This window comes from Homo sapiens, chromosome 18, assembly GCF_000001405.40.
Source record: "Homo sapiens chromosome 18, GRCh38.p14 Primary Assembly".
Taxonomy (NCBI): domain Eukaryota; kingdom Metazoa; phylum Chordata; class Mammalia; order Primates; family Hominidae; genus Homo; species Homo sapiens.
In genome coordinates this window covers 38928269-38946713 of record NC_000018.10, presented here as the reverse complement: position 1 = coordinate 38946713, position 18445 = coordinate 38928269, and the positions used below count along the sequence as shown (strand labels likewise).

At 38.0% G+C, this 18445-nt stretch overlaps 3 annotated features.

The window, feature by feature from the left end:
* Positions 5126-6325: an enhancer, noted in NCBI's record as "P300/CBP strongly-dependent group 1 enhancer chr18:36520353-36521552 (GRCh37/hg19 assembly coordinates)". NCBI's record gives its function as "activates an origin of replication core promoter dependent on BRD2, BRD4, P300/CBP, MED14 and CDK7 cofactors, with strong dependence on P300/CBP, by STARR-seq in HCT116 cells {active_cell/tissue: HCT116}" and the evidence as "EXISTENCE:reporter gene assay evidence [ECO:0000049][PMID:35650434]".
* Positions 5226-5415: an enhancer, noted in NCBI's record as "active region_13246". NCBI's record gives its function as "activates an Ori minimal core promoter by ATAC-STARR-seq in GM12878 lymphoblastoid cells {active_cell/tissue: GM12878}" and the evidence as "EXISTENCE:reporter gene assay evidence [ECO:0000049][PMID:35858748]".
* Positions 5466-5875: an enhancer, noted in NCBI's record as "active region_13245". NCBI's record gives its function as "activates an Ori minimal core promoter by ATAC-STARR-seq in GM12878 lymphoblastoid cells {active_cell/tissue: GM12878}" and the evidence as "EXISTENCE:reporter gene assay evidence [ECO:0000049][PMID:35858748]".

The window sequence follows — 18445 nt, the reverse complement described above, 5'->3', positions numbered from 1 at the left end:
AGGCATTGATGTTTCCTCTGTAGCTATGAAAGTATTAAATAGCATCTTTTTCCAATAGAAGGAAGTTTCATATATATGGAAAATCTGTTGTTTAATGTAACCACCTTAATCAATGATATTGGCGAGATCTTCTGAATAACTTTCTGTACTTGCTGCTTCACCGTGTACTTTTTATGATGATGGCATCTTTCCTTAAATCTCATGAACCAATCTCTACTAGCTTCTAACTTTTCTTCTGCAGCTTCCTCACCTCTCTTAGCCTTCATAGAATTGAAGAGAGTTAGGGGTTTGTTCTGATTTGGGCTTTGGTTTAAAGAAAGATTGTGGCTGGTTTGATCTTCTATCCAGACTAGAGAAACTTTCTCCATATCAGCAATAAGATTTGGTTGTTTTCTTACCATTCATATGTTTGCTGGAGTAACATTTTTAATTTTTTTCAAGAACTTCTTCTTTGCAGGTACGACCTGCCTGTTTGTCCTAGCTTTTCTCCTATCTTGGCTTTCAATGAGCCTTCCTCGCTAAGCTTCATCATTTCTAGCTTTTGACTGAAAGTTAGAGACATGTCACAGTTTCTTTCAGTTGAACATTTAGAGGTCATTGCAGATGCCTGGGGCCACCCGATTGCCTGACACATAACAATATTAAAATTAGGCCCATTGTTAGGGTCTAATTATGTCTAATTTCAATACTGTTGTGTGTCAGACAATAGGGTGGCCCTAGGAGAGGGAGTGAAATACAAAATGGCCATTTGGTGGAGCAGTCAGAACACACACAATATTTATTGATTAAGTTTGCTATCTTATGTGTGTGTGGTTTGTGACATCCCAAAATAATTATAACAGTATCATCCAAGGTCACTCATCACAGATCATCATAACAGATATGATAATAATGAAAAAGCTTGAAATGTTATAAGAATTGAACATGTGACACAGAGACATAAAATGATCACATGTTGTCGGAAAAGTAGCATCAATAGCCTTGCTCAAGCCACGGTTGCCACAACATTCAATTTATAAAAAACTCAATCTCTCTGCCAAGTACAATAAAATGAGTGCCGTAAAACAAGGTATTCTTGTACACGTTAGGTATTATTCATTATATGTATACACTTATATGTAATTATATATATTATACATACATATGTGTTTGCGTGTATATATATATATATATAATCAGTTGTGTATATGCACACTCACATACCCCTACATCCATTCAATATGAAATGATGCTCTGAATTTGCCATACTATCTATTTGCATCCTGCCTATATACTCATTTTTAGTATGTATGTATATTCATATGTATGTGCATATAAATAAACATATATGTATATATAAACAGTCACACTGAGTGAAATTTAGAACACCCAAGAGAACTGATGGTTTTGAAAATATTCACAAATTTTCCAAATAACTAGCCAACAGTAAAATTACCCTGACCCATTTTGGAACTATTTCTCTTAATCAATTCAGCCAAACAAGTCACAAAGAGCACATAAATATTGAATAAAGAACTTAGAGGTGAAATATCAACTGTAACTTTTGATGTTAAATTTTCAGATTCCATAATTTTAATTCTCTTATAATTCAAATATTTGTACTTTTGTGTCAGGCATATCTATGAAGTTTGTAAGGATAAAAGTAGTGAAATACTGAGACTGACTTAAAAGTTTGCTGACTCATTGGGCAGACAATAAAAGTGAATGTAAAACAAAACATGAAATGCTAGCAGAAAACAATTATGAAAATGTTATTGAGAGGTGACAACGTGCTGGTGGCCCTCGCTTGCTCTCAGCGCCTCCTTGGCCTTGGCGTCTGCTCTGGCTACACTTGAAGAGCCCTTCAGCCCACCGCTGCACTGCGGGAGCCCCTCTCTGGGCTGGCCAAGGCTGGAGCTGGCTCCTTCTGCTTGCGTGGAGGTGTGGAGGGAGAGGTGCGGGCTGGAACCAGGGCTGTGCGTGGCGCTCATGGCCCGGGACGAGTTCCGGGTGCGTGTGGGCTCGGCGGGCCCCGCACTCGGAGCAGCAGGCCTGTGTCGCCGGCACTGGGCAGTGAGGGGCTTAGCACCCCAGCCAGCAGCTGTGGAGGGGGCACTGGGTCCCCCAGCACTGCCGGCCTGCCTGAACTGCACTCAAATTCTCGCCAGGCCTCAGCTGCCTCCCTGCAGGGCAGGGCTCGGGACCTGCAGCCCGCCATGCCCAAGCCCCCCCACGGTAGGCTCCTGTGCAGCCTGAGCCTCCCCGACAGGCACCGCCCCCTGCTCCACGGCGCCCAGTCCCATCAACCACCCAAGGGCTGAGGAGTGCAGGCGCATGGCATGGGACTGATGGGCAGCTCTGCCTGCAGACCTGGCACGGGATCCACTAGGTGAAGCCAGCTGGACTCCTGAGTCTAGTGGGGACTTGGAGAACTTTTATGTCTAGCTAAAGGATTGTAAATGCACCAAGCAGCACTCTGTGTCTAGCTCAAGGTTTGTAAATGCACCAATCAGCACTCTGTCTAGCTCAAGGTTTATAAACACACCAATCAGCAACACTTGTGTCTAGCTCAAGGTTTGTAAATGCACCAATCAGTGCTCTGTGTCTAGCTAATTTAGCGGGGACTTGTAGAACTTTTACGTCTAGCTAGAGGATTGTAAATACACCAATCAGCACTCTGTGTCTAGCTCAGGGATTGTAAATGCACCAATCAGCACCCTGTCAAAATGGACCAATCAGCTCTCTGTAAAACAGACCAATCAGCTTTCTGTAAAATGGCTGCCTGAGCCAACTGTGGCAACCCACCCTGGTCTCCTTCCACAGTGTGGAAGCTTTGTTCTTTCACTGTTTCCAATAAATCTTCCTGCTGCTCACTGTTTGTGTCCACACTGCCTTTATGGAGCTGTAACACTCACTGCGAAGGTCTGCAGGTTCACTCCTGAGGCCAGCAAGACCACGAACCCACCGGGAGAAACGAGCAACTCCAGATAGGAGGAATGAACAACTCCAGATGTGCCACCTTAAGAGCTGTAACACTCATCACGAAGGTCTGCAGCTTCACTCCTGAAGCCAGCGAGACCTTGAACCCACCAGAAGGAAGAAACTGCGATCACATCCAAACATCAGAAGGAACAAACTCCGGACACACTTTCTTTGAGAACTGTAACATTCATTGCGAGGGTCTGCGGCTTCATTCTTGAAGTCAGTGAGACCAAGAACCCACCAATTCCGGACACACTATGATGTGGCTGCAATTTCCAGCCTATTAGCAAAGTTGTGTAATAACTAGTCAGCTACTTGGAATAGCGATCAGAGTGTATGTGGGAAATCAGAGAAGACTGCATAAAGGCAGTGAGAAGGGAGCTAGCCCTTAAAGATCAGATGGAATGGGTCAGGGCAGAAAACGTGACTGTACTGTCTCTAAGTTATTGAAACCACTCTGGTGCAATTTTGAGAGACAGACCGTGTCACACACCCATGAGTGGGATGCTGACTCAGGTTGGTGCCCATACAATTCTCCAGTAAACTTCTGCTTCCACTGTCTTCGAATGCCATTTGACAATTTCTTCAATCCCTTAAATCTTTTACCTCCTGTCTCCTTTTCTTAGTATAAATGAATGACATTGTTTCTGATTGTTTCATGTTTTTTTGTTCCTGTAGTTAAATTCAGACTTTATATAAAAATACTTTTCTTAGAGTGAAGCACAAGAAATAAGACATTATTTGTTTAGTTGGACATAAGCTACATAATATATTGTTATGTAGTAACAATTCTAATAAGATTATGGAAAGGGCCTACAGAATTGTAAAGAAAATTCATGAAAATCATCAGAAGGGAACACTTAGTAGAGCTTTTGTCAGGTGTTTATTCCTAGACCAATCATACACATCTATGGAAAAAGAAAAAACTTTAGATAAAATAAATGTAGCAGAGTTTATGTTAAAAAAGAACAATTCGCCAGGTGTGGTGGTTCACACCTGTAATTCCAGCACTTTGGGAGGCCAAAGCGGGTGGATCACCTGAGGTCAGGAGTTTGAAACCAGTCTCACCAACATGGAGAAACCCTATCTCTACTAAAAATACAATATTAGCCAAGCGTGGTGGTGCATGCCTGTAATCCCAGCTACTCATGAGGCTGAGGCAGGAGAATCGCTTGAACCTGGGAGGCGTAAGTTGCAGTGAGCTGAGAGCACGCCATTGCGCTCCAGTCAGGGCAACAAGAGCGAAACTCTGTCTCAAAACAAAGAAACAAACAATTCATGAATCAGGCAACACTCAAAATTGCAAAAGGTTCAGAGAGCTTTGTTCCAGCAAGTTTTCACAGGCTGAACGCAGAAGTAAAGTAATTCCTGGCTGGCTGTAGCTAGGCATTTGTCTTATTTGGGTCTGGTCTGGTCTGATCAAAAGCTCCTAATTTTATAACCAATTGGCTGTTTGAATGTTTGTTATTGGTGGAAGCTCTTTTGTTTTGTTTTGAAGTTCTTTTGTTTTATTTCTGTAAGTCAATTACAGGAAATGACTCCAAGTTAAGTTTCAGTTTGCTTAACTAAGAGCTTCTGGTACAAACTATCTCTGTCTAATGGCCCCTTATTTGCTTTAAAAGAATGATGTTACATGTTACAAAAGGATCCACCAGGAGCCTTTCTGTTATAATCACGTGCATTGGGGTTGATTGAAGAAGTCCAAGAAAAGAATGCCTAAGAAGACAAATCTTTTGTGAACTTCACTTACACAAGGTTAACAAAATGCAGACCCTTTTCCACTATATTAGCAGTTTGCCTCCCTCACCCCTGCTGAGTCCTAGCAAAATGACACAATGATTGAGATTATTGCCAAGCCAAAGCGTGAGCTGTGAAGGAAAATCTCCAGCCTCTGCCTAGAAATGAAGCACAGTTCGAATGTCCTTCTCTAACTCTAAACTGCAGCTAATTGCACTGTAGAGCAGTGGCTTTCAGCGCACAGTCCCAGGACAGGCAGCATCACTGTCAGTTGCGTCACCTGAATACATCACCTGAAATTCTCAGACCCTAACCCCAAACTACTGAATCAGAATCTCTAGGGTTGGGCCCAACAACTTGAGCTTTAACAATCTCCCCTAGAAGATTCTGAGATGAGAAGTCTTCCTATTGAAGGTTTTTCTCAATTGAAGGATTCATGGTCTCACGGGCTTCAAGGAATGAAGCCCTGGACCACAGCGGCTAATGTTATAGCTCGATTAGAGAAACGCGCAGACCCAAAGAGTGTGCTGCGGCAAGATTTATTAAAGCGAAAGTGAAAGTAAAGCAAAAGCGAAAGTAAAGCAAAAGCGGAAGTAAAGCAAAAGCGAAAGTAAAGCAAAAGAGAAAGTAAAGCTTCCATGGGGATCCGGAATGGCTGCCGTTTCTGGCTTGGGTGTCTTAGGCTTATGTCCCCTTATGACTCCTCCCCTTTTCCTTTTCCTGTCCTGTAGGATTAGCTTATTTTCTATCCGCTTGTGGGTTGGTGGGCCTGCTTGGTTAAAAACATCAGGCTGCAGCTAGAGCTTAAACTCCCTATATGATTGGTTGAAGTTTCAATGCCTTAGTTTGCAGCTGTGACTCATTTTGGCTTAGAAGAAAGTCCCCTTTGATTGCTTGAAATTTCAATCCCTTAGCTTGCAGCTATGACTCATTTTGGTTTAGGGGAAAGTCCCCTTTCATTGGTTGAAGTTTTAATCCCTTCGCTTGCAGCTATGACTCATTTTGGCTTAGGGGAAAGTCCCTGTTGATTGGGTGAAGTTTCAATCCCGTACCTTGCAGCTATGACTCATTTTGGCTTAGGGGAAAGTCCCCCTGGGGAAGTCCCTGTTGACCCAGGAAGTCCAGCCAACTTAGCCACTTAGTCCCTCAATTCTGATATATGTCAAAGGTTGATCCTACTTTTCTAGACTCTAGAATCTAGAATATTGTTATTTTTTCAACAAGGTCCTGAAATACAAGTCAACTAAAGAAATTTGAATATTAGCAAGAAAAGAGCAGGATTAAATGGATGTTCTAAACTTGTTGAATGAGTGTGCTTCTTATCACACAGGGCATCTGCAAAAGTTTGTTCTCTTTGCTGATTTAAGAAAATCATTCAAATAATTCTGAATTTCATCACTTCTGTTTGCACACATTTGGCTTTACTGCACACCAGTAGCTCAGATTTTCCAGGATGGGAAGATGAAAGATTGGAGACTTAGCCTCAAGAAACTCTTAGTTTGATGTTGAGAGGCAGATGCTGAAGAGAGGAGGCAAAAGACCTAGACAATAATAATTAAATTACAGCAAAATGCCAGCAATAATGGAAATGCCATTAAGGGAGGAGGTGAGAAAAATAAAGTGGCTAATCCTGTTGAGAAGCAGTTCACAGAGGCTTCTCAGAAGAGTTGGCACCTGGTCAGTAAAGAATAATAAGTAGAAGTAAAGTCAACAACATTGGGGGTGGGGGGTGGGGGTTCATTTCAGAAACACGGTAGGCAAAGGAATAAAATTTTAAAACTGGCATTTGAGAGGTAGAGGAAGTAATGTTTCCAGAGAGGAGGCCACAGACTTTTATGGGCTCAAATAACAAAGGCTTTTCCCACCACGCTTATAAGGTTATGCTGAACATGGTAAAAATGCTTCCTTCCTGGACAGGATACTCTGCTGTTCTTATTCCCCTCCTGGGCATATGTCCTAACTAATTTATTCAACACTACCCTTATTGGAGGTTAGTTGTGCATTGAAAGGTGACAGGTTGTTGACCCTGAGGATCCTTAGCAATTAGCAGAAACTCAGTAATCTCAATTCCTCTTGAGTGTCTCTTGATTTCACAGACCAGGAAAGGGCTGAACTCTATTTTCTATATTTCCATAAATGCTTTCTACAGGGCTCTCTTCCAGGTGGTATTGTGGATGGAGTCTGAAGGAGAAGACAAGTTCCAGATAAACCTGACCTTACCTTTTTAGAAAGAGATGGGTGAAAAGAGATGGGGGCACAGAGGTGACTATCCAGACCAGCCCTATGCACTAATAAAAAAATTTTCAAGTAGCTCGGTTTATTCTTCTCTTATTGTTCTTGTAGGGAAGGCATTTAAAATTTTATCTTTGCCATTATCTCACATCTTAACCTTCAGGAAAGGTAACAAGAGTTTTTCACAAATTTGATTCCTTTGAACTACCAAGGCAGACAAAAAAGTAATGATGTGAAATACATATGGTGTCAATGAGAATTGATGGAATATAAATGGCTGAGGATAAGCATGAATACTACTCTCCCTGTCACATACACACACACACACACACACACCACCCCTCAAAAATAGTACTTGAAAGAATATGGTAAACATAAATGTAAATTAACTTAGAGAGAAGACTAGTTACATAAAAATTAAGTGACTTGACTCATATTTCTCTATTAAAATACTCATTAATAGCAATGGCAATCGATTTATTGTTTTGCATAAAGTCATCTAATAATTCATATAAATTCATTTTAATTGTGAATTTCACAATTCTCCCCTTCTTAAGATATTATGGGCATCCTCAGTGTATCAAAGTGTGTATATTCACAGTGCATTTGTCTACTTCATCTCTACTTTCAGCTAAAGATTGGGAGAAAGGAGGAGGTAATGAAATCTGTAAAAGAATCTTGAAAAGTGGAAAACTTTCCACTTTTTCTCCAAACCTGGAGAGAAAATCTGGACGACTTTAAGCCAACCTGAAGGTAACTCCTTCTGCCTGCTTGTGCCCCCACATCCACCCCAGAAGGGCACTTCAGTTTACTTGCTTTCTAAGATTTGACATCACTCTGGCGAGATTCAAAATGTTTATGCTCCGAGCGAGGGAACCTTTTTCATTGTTTGCCAATCTGTGTCAGATTTAATCTAGATCTGTAAACACCAGTGCATTTTCGATTTTGATGCAATTTCCTTTAATTTACCCTACAGAGGAGGCTTTTTGTTGTCGTTGTTTTCTTTCTTTCCTTTTTCTTCCTTTTGGTAATCTAAGAGTAAAAAATCCCTGAACCAATTGGTCAATCGATTAACAAATTAACTGCTAAATAATGGATTGGGCCCTGTCTACATGGTGACAGGGTGCCCAGAATAAAATATGTCTCTACAATACTTCTTTGAACACATGCCTAACAAAGCAACACTTGCTTTTCCTAACTAGTTTACACAAATGCCTAGAAACCAAATAGAAAAACATGGACCGATAATATTTTATCATTCATACAAGCTGAACAGAAATGGGCATTGCATTGAGAAATGAACAAAACTCGTTTTCTCTCGAATTAAATTTTAATGTAGCAGAACTTTACATGATCTTTTGAACATAAATAAATGCAGGAAGGCAACAAATTATTTTCCACTGCTAATTATGCTATTTATACTGAATATGGTGTAAAAGTACATAAGAAATAATGTTACTAAATAGATAAAAATATTAGAGTGAAAGAAATTGGAGGAAGGAGAGGATGACAGAACCATATAATGAAGTTCGTGTTATGTAAGAATTATCCTTCACAATTTTTCAAGTCTTGGGTATTTACTTAACGGCTTTTAGTCTGGAATAATGATGATATGAATAATCATCTGAAGCCAAGGCTGTAGTTTAGAAACCTAGTCAGAAAGGATGTAAGGAAAAAAGAGGGAGCTGTATATTAAAAGGAGGATATTTAGGAATGCTCTTTACTGATAATATTCACATGACTTCTGAAAAGAACATCACAGCAGAGAACAGGTCTCTCTCCCCAACCCACATTCTCCATTCATTTTGGGTTGTTCAGACTGATGGTTTTGAGGCATGTATGTGGATGGATTTAGATTGGAAGCAATTTCCAAATAACCAGTTTGAAGGATTTTCACAAACTAGATTTTTAAGCTGTATTTACACAATGCAAAAATCAGCTGAATGTTGGGGACCCAGGTTGGGAAGCAGTTGGTTGGCTTGGACAACCAGAAATAACCTAAAAAATATTTCCTTCTTTATTAAGTGTGATCCACTTTTATTCAGAAAGTGTTATTGATTGACTATATGCACGACCCTGTTTTGAATGTGTGCTGTTGGGGGCGGTTTGGAACTCATCCTGGAAAATCACTCATAGAATCATATAAAATATATTGGAAGATAAGATAAATGGATATAAATAAATGAGAAACAATACCAGCCAGAATGATCAAGCATTTGATTTTGGTATCGGTTTGATTGTGGTATTGGTAGACTGAGTTAGGGTGGAATGTAAACCATTTTTAGACCAAAACAAATTTGGAATTAAATATTAATTATCAATAATTATTTTTCAAAAGAATAACTAGATTACTTGACAACATTTTATTTTAGTGTGGTTGAAGGGAGTGGAGTGCTAATTAGAAAGTGCAGAGTTTCCAGGCTGAGACTGGGAGGCTGACATCTAGAGAGGACAACCTGGCATTGAGGGTGTCTCTCCGGCTAAGGGTATTTGCAAGTTCTTAAATGTGAGAGGTAGAACTGAACTTTGACACTTTCAGGACTAAAGGCACAGCAAAAGTAGTATATGGGTGTGGGGTGTGTGTGTGTGTGTGTGTAAAAGAGAAGCTAATAACATGAGCAATAAATACGCTGATAGGTTGATAAAAAAAGAAAAAAGAGAGAGAAGGCATCAATATTCATAAATGAAACAGAGATATCAATACAGATTTGACCAACATTTAAATTATGTGAGGATAGATATTGCAAACACATTTTTGCTAATTTTAAAATTTAGATAAAATGGACAAAATTATAGAAAATAAAATACCATCCACCCACATGGACACAAGAAGTATTTTAAGTAAATAAGTTGAATCCATAAGCAAAATTAAAAACTTATACGGTTTAAGGATTTAATTTTATCAAGTACTTAATGAAGAAATAATGTCTGCCTTCTTAACAGGATTCAAAAACACTACCCTAAAGGAAAAGATTGACAAATTTGGTCAAATGACACTATAAAAAGATTAAAAAGGCAAGCCACTGTTTGGAAGTTGATATAATTAATGAAAATCTTGATTTTGGAATACATTTAAAAATCCAAGCCATTCCACAATGTGTATATATTTTAAAACATCATGTTTTATATGGTAAATGCATATAATTTTATGTCAAATTTAAAAATTAGAAAATATAAATTTAAAAAAATCTAGAATATATCCTCCAAATCAATAAGACCAATGCTAACAAGCCAAAAGAAAGGTTAGCTAGGGATTTAAATTGGTATTTCACAAGAGAAAATACAAAAATGAAAAAAAATTCAACCACATTAAAAGTGAACTGAGGGTTAAAATCAAATAAGATATTATTATGTTCTCACATAATATCTAAAACTAAGAAGAATGACAATATAAAATATTACCATAGAAAAATGTTGCATATGGAACTCTCCTGTGGTGCTAGTAGAAATGTAAATTAGTACAAATCCTTTGTCAAACTGTTTGGCATCATTTAGTAAAGTTGGAGATACATATTTCCTGAAACCTGGCAATTTCACTAGTACAAACCCTGCAGGAATCTGTGAACATTTGCACTAAGACATGTGCATAAAAAAAGTCTGAAGTATCATTTTCATAGTAGACGAAATACAGGAAGCAACCCAAACATTCTTTAATGGCAGAATGGACAAGTAAATTGTGATATGTCACATGATGGAATAGCAGGCAGCACAGGAAGTAAATGGACTATGGCTACATCCAAAAAACATGGATAAGTTTCACAAATACAGTATTGAGTCAAAGATGCCAGACACAAAATATCACATGTAAGACATGATTCATGTAAATGTTAAAACATAAACATGCAAAACTTAACTATAGTGTTTAGTAATCTATGCTTATCTGATAAAACAATAAAGAAAAGTGACTATGGAACATCAGAATAATGATTACTTTGGGGGAGCAAGGTACAGTGGTTTGGAGGGGTATGAGAGCTTTTGGAGTGTGAGTTCTATTTCTTGATTTGACTATGTCATGTTATATAGGGGTTTATACTGTGATAAATCTATCATATTTATAAACAATTCATGCTTCATCTGTGTGTATTATAACACACACTCATGATTTAAAATATATATTATATATATATATAATTTTAGGTTTTAAAGTTCTATATGGTGGAAGGCTTTGTAAACCTTAGATTTTTTTCCTATATAAAATGGAGATAAGAACTTCTATCCACAGTTTCTAAGAGATGTGAATGAGATAAATTACCTGACACAGAGCATATACTCACATACTATAAATATACTTTTTCATAGAGGTGGACAATTCTTCATATATGTGAAAATTAAACGGGACAGCAGGTAAGTTAAGGTAGATGCTAAAAGATATGATCGAGATTTCCTGTGTTCAATTTTAAAAGCTGATTAATTCAGTCAAGCACATGCTTGGAGGAACATCTATCAAGCATGTGTGAATCGTTTCTGTGTTGGGTAGAAATGTATCTGAAATGTATCTAGAAATGTATCACCATACTTCGTATGGAAAAGAATGTTGACATGGAACATTAAAAGTTATCTGTATGCCAATTCTAACAGAGCAGCCCAAAAGGAGAAAGTTTTGGTCCAAGATCTTGATTCTTTATTTAGCACTTGTGGTAGAGAAAAAAAAAAAAGGCAAAAGTTATGGATTTATCCAATTATCTTTGTCATCTCTTTTTTATCTCATTGCCTACACACAATCTCTCAGAAAATCTGCTGGCATTAACTTTAAAATATAACCAGGATAGGGCTGGGTTCTGTGGCTTATGCCTGTAATCCCAGCACTTTGAGAGGCTGAGGCAGGTGGATCACTTGAGGTCGAGTTTGAGATCAGCCTGGCCAAGATGGCGAAACCCCATTTTGTATTTCATAAAAATACAAAAATTAGCTGGGCGTGATGGCAGGCACCTGTAATCCCAGATACTCTGGAGGCTGGGGCAGGAGAATCACTTGAACCCTGGAGGCAGATGTTGCAGTGAGCCAAGATCATGCAGGAAGCCAAGATTGTGCTGCCACACTCCAGTCTGGGTGACAGAGGGAGGATCTGTCTCAAAAAAAAAAATGTGTGTGTGTGTGTGTGTGTGTATATATATATATATATATATATATATATATATATATAATAGATCTCCAGGATTTCATCATTCTCCCTGTCTCCACTCTTTCTCAATGCCAATTTTTTATACTTTTTATTTTAAAGCTGTCCCTAATTGCTCTCTGAACACTTTCCTTTGGCCACTGCAGTCTACTCTTCATACAACAAAGTGACCCTTAAAAAAAAAAGAAAACTCAGAACTGGTCAATCTGGTAAATTCCCCTCCTAAAACTGCCTAGAGGCAATGACAAGGTCCTTACATGGTCTACCAGAACCTTGGTAATCTACCACAGCCTTCTGCCCACACCCTGGGTTAGGCCTTCTTGCTCTTCTTCAAGACAAGCCTAATACACTCTTCCCTCCAGGCCTTCTCACTGCTCTCTCTCTCTCAGATTTTCTTCCTCCAGATGTCTGTGTGACTCATTCCCACACTTTCTTAGGTCTCCTCCCAAATTATTAACTTTGGTGACCAAAGTATTAACTTTGGTGACCAAAGTATTTGGTGACCAAATTATTAACTTTATTAATAAGGTCACAGGGTGACCTTATTAGAGATGGTCACCCTGACCACCCTCATCTAAAGTGGCCACACAAGTCACCTCTGTCTCACTGTACACCCTTTGAACCAACCCATTCTCACTGCCAGACATTCTATACATTTATTTACTCACCTGTTCATTGTCTGTCTCCACAAATGCAGGGATTTTTTTTTCCTGTTTTGTCCTCTGCACTATTGTGCCAAAACCTAAAATAATACTGAAATGTGGTATGTGTCCCCCAAAATGGGTTAAATGGATAACTTTAGAGTGGATTTCAAGAAACCCACCAAGATCTGCACAAGAACACTATTAACCATTTATTTGAAAACCCACCTTACCCTCAGTTCAAACTCATTCTTACATCAGCTGAACAATTCTAAATTTATTTATTTCAACTAAAGTGACCCCATTTCTTCTCTTTACTTGTGTCCACCTACCCTCCCCTAAACACACACAAACACACATGACAAACCTGTCTACCTAACTATGATGTAGATTCCTGCTGAAAATTTGTAAATTCCTAGCAAAGGTCTTCAAATGTAAATAGCAGTTCAAGCAAGTACTACTGTCTTAAGGAGTGACCGCTTAATGAATCACCACTAACCAAAGGGGTCAATGAGGCGAGTCCCAGATATGTCATGTTATTTTAACTCATTTGCAAATGAGCACATTAATATTAACTGGAAGATTGCACACCTTTCTATTTATGTAAAACTGATTTGGGAAACTACACAACTGGGAGGTGTTAGGAGAGTTTCCACAGCGTATCATCCTGCAAATCAAGCCATTTTGGGGTTATTACTTACATGATATCAGAACATCTGATTTTCAACTTTTCTCTCCCTGATAAAAAGAACTTTTACAAATAAAGTGATACTGACATTTTGCTTCAGGAAATTTAGCTGATAAGCAGCTCCCAGGCTTAATTCAGAATCATTTCAGTAAATAGAAGGTACGTTTCTAGGAGACTGCTGATGTCACACCAACCTAGGTGTTTCTTACCCACTGCCTTATCTGGAATTAGAAGATGTTGTATTTCTTGATTGAAATGGGTGCTCTGCAGAAATCTCAGCTTGCCCGTTCAGTACACATCATGAGAAACTCTGTTGACCGTTTCACAACCTAGAACATGAAGCATCCTCTGACCTCACATTCTGGTTCTCATTCTTGAAGCACCCCTCACTTGGGCTGAAAATGACTTGGTCATTTCCAAACACAGGTGTTTCTGAATGTATGATAGCAGCAGGTTCAGAGGAGTTCCTCTTGAATGAGCCTGCTATGCTTTCCTTCTTGCCGTCTCATTTCCTTTCTTTCCCCTTGTTTTCATCCTCCCCTTTTTGAGACATAATTTTTTCCCTTTATTCATTGCCCCTACACCTTCTCTTCTGTTCTTTTCTTTTATGTTTTACACTATGGCAGTAAAGAAATTTATACTAAAATGTATACTTGAAATAATAATGTATAATTTTTAAAAATCTGCTTCAATGATAAGGGGAAGACAAAATATGAATTAAAACTTGTCTATCTAGTTGCCATGACTTGAGTTTCAAATTTGCTTTTGAGATTTCTTGAAACTGAGGTGAATAGTTGAACAATCACTTATAATTGTTAAAATAAATTGAAAATCACTTATAATCTGAACACCAAAGAAGCACATTTTAAAAAAGTATTGGTATATATTTTTCAAGTGTATAATGTTTAATTATGTCTAGTAGATAGGTAATAGCTAAACTGTACATATTATTTTATATTCTAGCCCCGAATTCTAAAAATAATTTTGACATTGACTTTTGTGTAGCCATGTGATGAATAATGTCAATGACAATATACTTTTTTGGAGAATCCAGTCATGTTAGCCATCTTTTCCTTTAGGGCCTTGGCTCTCATCTGGGGCACTCATAAGAATCACATGGGTCGATCTTTGTAAAAAGATTACAGGGCTCAAATCTAGGGCTGAAATCACAACTGTCGGCAGAGGATAATGCTTATGAAATTTCCAATATCTTTCTGGGCATTTTTGAAAACCCACTTTCCAATAAGGTAGTTATAAAAAGGCTATTTCTTTCTGCCTTCGAGTTTAAACATTTAAAAGCTCCATTGCATTTATGTTAAGAAAAGATGATGTTATATTTGCATCTCAAAACTTTGATCTCCATTTTATGTGTGCACCCCCATCAATAAGAAAACTTGGCCTGCATGGCCTCATTTTATGTATATCGAGGCTTCTTGGGGCCGCAACAATGGTATGTACAGTGAGTGAGGCATGCATAATCCTTGACCTGACCTTCCGCAGTGAACCAGGTTTGTTCTGAGAAACAGTCTATTCTCACCCAGACTCCTCATTTCACAGTTGAGAAAACTTCAGTCCTAGATATGCCATGACATGTCCAAAGTCAAAAGACTTGATAAGAGCAAGGCCTGGACAAAACCCCAGGAGACTGGATTCTCAGCACTATTCCCTTGTCACTGCTCCACACAGTCCCCGTGGCCCCTGAGCACCCTTCTTGCACTCAGCTCCTTTCAGCAGGGAGCCCTCCTCTTTCTGGAGGTGCAGTATCAGTTGCCTTCTATCACAGCCTCCCTTTGTCTCCTTTATTCTCCTGCTCTTTGAACACCCTGAGAGAAAATATGTATTTGTTCTCCTCAGTTTGGATTTGCTTCTCTACTTCCTTCAACTCTGCCAGTGTGATTCCTGCTGCTATCTGTGAGGGGCTTTCTTTTTCCCAACATTTAAAATATCTTTGTATAACTCAGAGAGCCATGCAAAATTTCTCTATTGAAATTCAAAACCCAACCAGGCTGACCTCATTTCAAAATAAGACCAAATCTCAAACCAGCCAGTTTTAATCAAACCATTCTTTTACATATTTTTATTTATTTATACGAAAAAAATATTTTTTTTCCTGCGGATATTTTGTATCTGCATGAGGGATTTGGGAGTGTTAATGAGAAAGGGGCATGATAATGGCATACATTTGCATAACACTTCACAGCCTTAGCCCTTCTGCAAACAACATTCCTTCTAAAAAAAGTCTGGTAAGGATGTTGGGCAAATTGTATGACACCCCCAACTTCCCCTGCACACACAACCTCCCCACCTCCACACACACACACACACACACACACACACACACATGCACACTTGGTAACTGACTCTTTCAAGAACTGTGAAATGAGTTGCCCAAGGTCTCTAGATTGTTAAATAACATATATACTTACACATACAATAATTGACACAAACTCAATCAGTCTTATTTATTATGAAATCTAGACACCCAGTATAACATTATGAAGCTTGGGCTATCTTTTCAAAAAAATTATTTATCTTTTAATAGACATGTTGTAATTGTACATATTGGTAGGATACAATTTGATCTTCCAATATATATCTATGTTGTAACTACTCCAATCCAACCAAATAGTTAATGCATCCATTATCTCACACATTTATTATTTTTTGTTGTGAGAACTTCCAAAAGCCCCTCTTCTAGCTATTTTGTAGTATGCAATATTTTACTGTTCACTGAAATAGTATATTACATACTCATCCTACTATGCAATAGAACACCAACATTTATTTCTTCTTATTGTGATCTTTCCCTGTTATCCCCTTTCCCCTCCCCTCAGCAGTCTCTGGTAACTATTGTTCTACTTTCTGCTTCTATGATGTTAACTTTTTTCCCTTAGATTCCACATATGAGTGGGATTATGCAGTGCCTGTCTGTCTGTGTCTGGTTATTTCACTTAGCATAATATCCTCCAGGTTCATCTTTACATGTTGTTGTAAATGATAGGATTTCATTCTTTTTATGACTGAACAGTATTTCATTTTGTATATATACCACCTTTTCTTTATCCATTTATCTACTGTTTAACACTTAGGTTGATTTCATGTCTTGGCTATTGTAAATAATGATGCAATAAATATGTGAATGCAGAGATCTCTTTGACATACTGATTTCTTTTCCTTTGGATATATACTCCGTAGAGGGACTGCTGTATCTTTTGGTAGTTATATTTTTAATTTTTTAGGAACCTCCATAATGTTTTCTATAATGGTTGTACTAGTTTACAATCCCACCGACAGTGTGTAAATATTCCCCTTTCTCCACATCTTTGCCAACACTGGTTTTCTTTTGTCTTTTTGAGAATAGTCATTCTAACTAACAGATTGAAATGGTATCTCATTATGGTTTTGATTTGCATTTCACTGATGATTAGTGATGTTGTACATTTGGGCTTTTAGTGGGCCAGCATCTATGGATCTCAGTTAATTTGGGGAATTCACTAAGCAGCATTTTGGTGTTAATTCCTCATAGGAGAGAAGTTAGTAGCAGAATAACATGATAAGAAATAATAGATTTATTTTAAGATGCACATTCTTAACAGAATTCCAATGTTGTTTGTAGTGACCCTTCTCTTGAATTAAGAAGGGGAATTAAGCCTCCCCCTCAGCCTGGGAACATATTCTGACTTGTCAGTCAGTAATCATACCTGGCATGTTAACTGGGATTTCTGTGGCAGTGGTCAGTTTACAAAGGTGCTTTTGAACCACTTCTGATCTATGAAATCTTAGAGAAAAGCCAGTTAGGTGCTTTGGGCAAAGTTGTCATTGCTCCTAAAAGTTACATAAAAGAGACGTTCCTTCTCCTTCTTGTTGTTGATTCCAGATGTAAAACCTGGAACAGATAAAGCCATTTTACTATTTTCCTGAAGGAAGAATTAATATGCCACAGAAATTTCTGTTACTTGAAATCCAAACAGCCTAGCTGACTTCTGCTAACTTTCCCTTTTCAGGGAGAATTCCTATCCAGATATCTTCTGCCATAACCAAGAGTCAGCACATCATAATCTAGCCATACTCAGACCCATGAACAGGATCAAGAAGACAGATTTTTAGAATTTAGAATTAAGAAAATCAGGAATTTAGAATTAAGAAAATCAGGATGCTCTGCTATGGGATTCATTTAAATATTATGTAAATTTGGACATAGAAGACCCAAGATAAACTGTCCCTGTTCAAACTAGAGTTATTTGAGAATTCAGGGTAGGAAAATCAAAGGTGGTTGGCCAGAAGTGGGAGAGAGAGAAATTGCAAAGCTTGTGCACAGACAGAGAAAGAAACATGAGATAAAATACAGTACTTGGCACTTCTTAGGTACCCAATAAATATGTGTTGATTTTTAATGTAGAATGTCAGTTTCTTATATGCGTTCACATTTTTAAATGTATATTGCAAAAGCAAACTCTGGGATCATAAGATAGCTATTCCAAAAAATTAGATTTTTACATATCTTTCCTATCAAGTATTTCTAAAAGTAGTCTCTGGATTGGCAGTTGTCTTCTCGATCTTGCTCATGGAATCACAGCCAGTTCAAGCTCCTCACAGGAGGGGCAGGGTTGCATTTCTGTCTGCTGAGACTCTACTTCAGGGGACACACACATAATTCTTGAATTACAGTATCATTAGAAAATTTTTTTATGTATACTGAAATAATATCATAAAGAATTTTATTCTCACAATACCAAAGAAAAGACATTATAAATGAGGTGTATATATAGAAAATCGGTATCAAAATATCTGTATGATGACTAAAGACAGATGACCAGATAGTATCACATGTAGACAATATTTTTGTGATAAGATTAGACTTCTTAGAGAGGTAATAATTATACTCATTATGAAACGGGTTGAATACTAAAATTTAAAGTGTAAAAAGTGCATTTAATTTTAAATTGATGCATGTTCTTGTTTTAAAGACTCCTCTGTCTATATAGAACTGTTCCCTCAGTCCCTACATGTCCAGCAGCAATATACCTTTCTATTGCTTTTTAAAGGGTATCAAAAGCAAGGACAAAT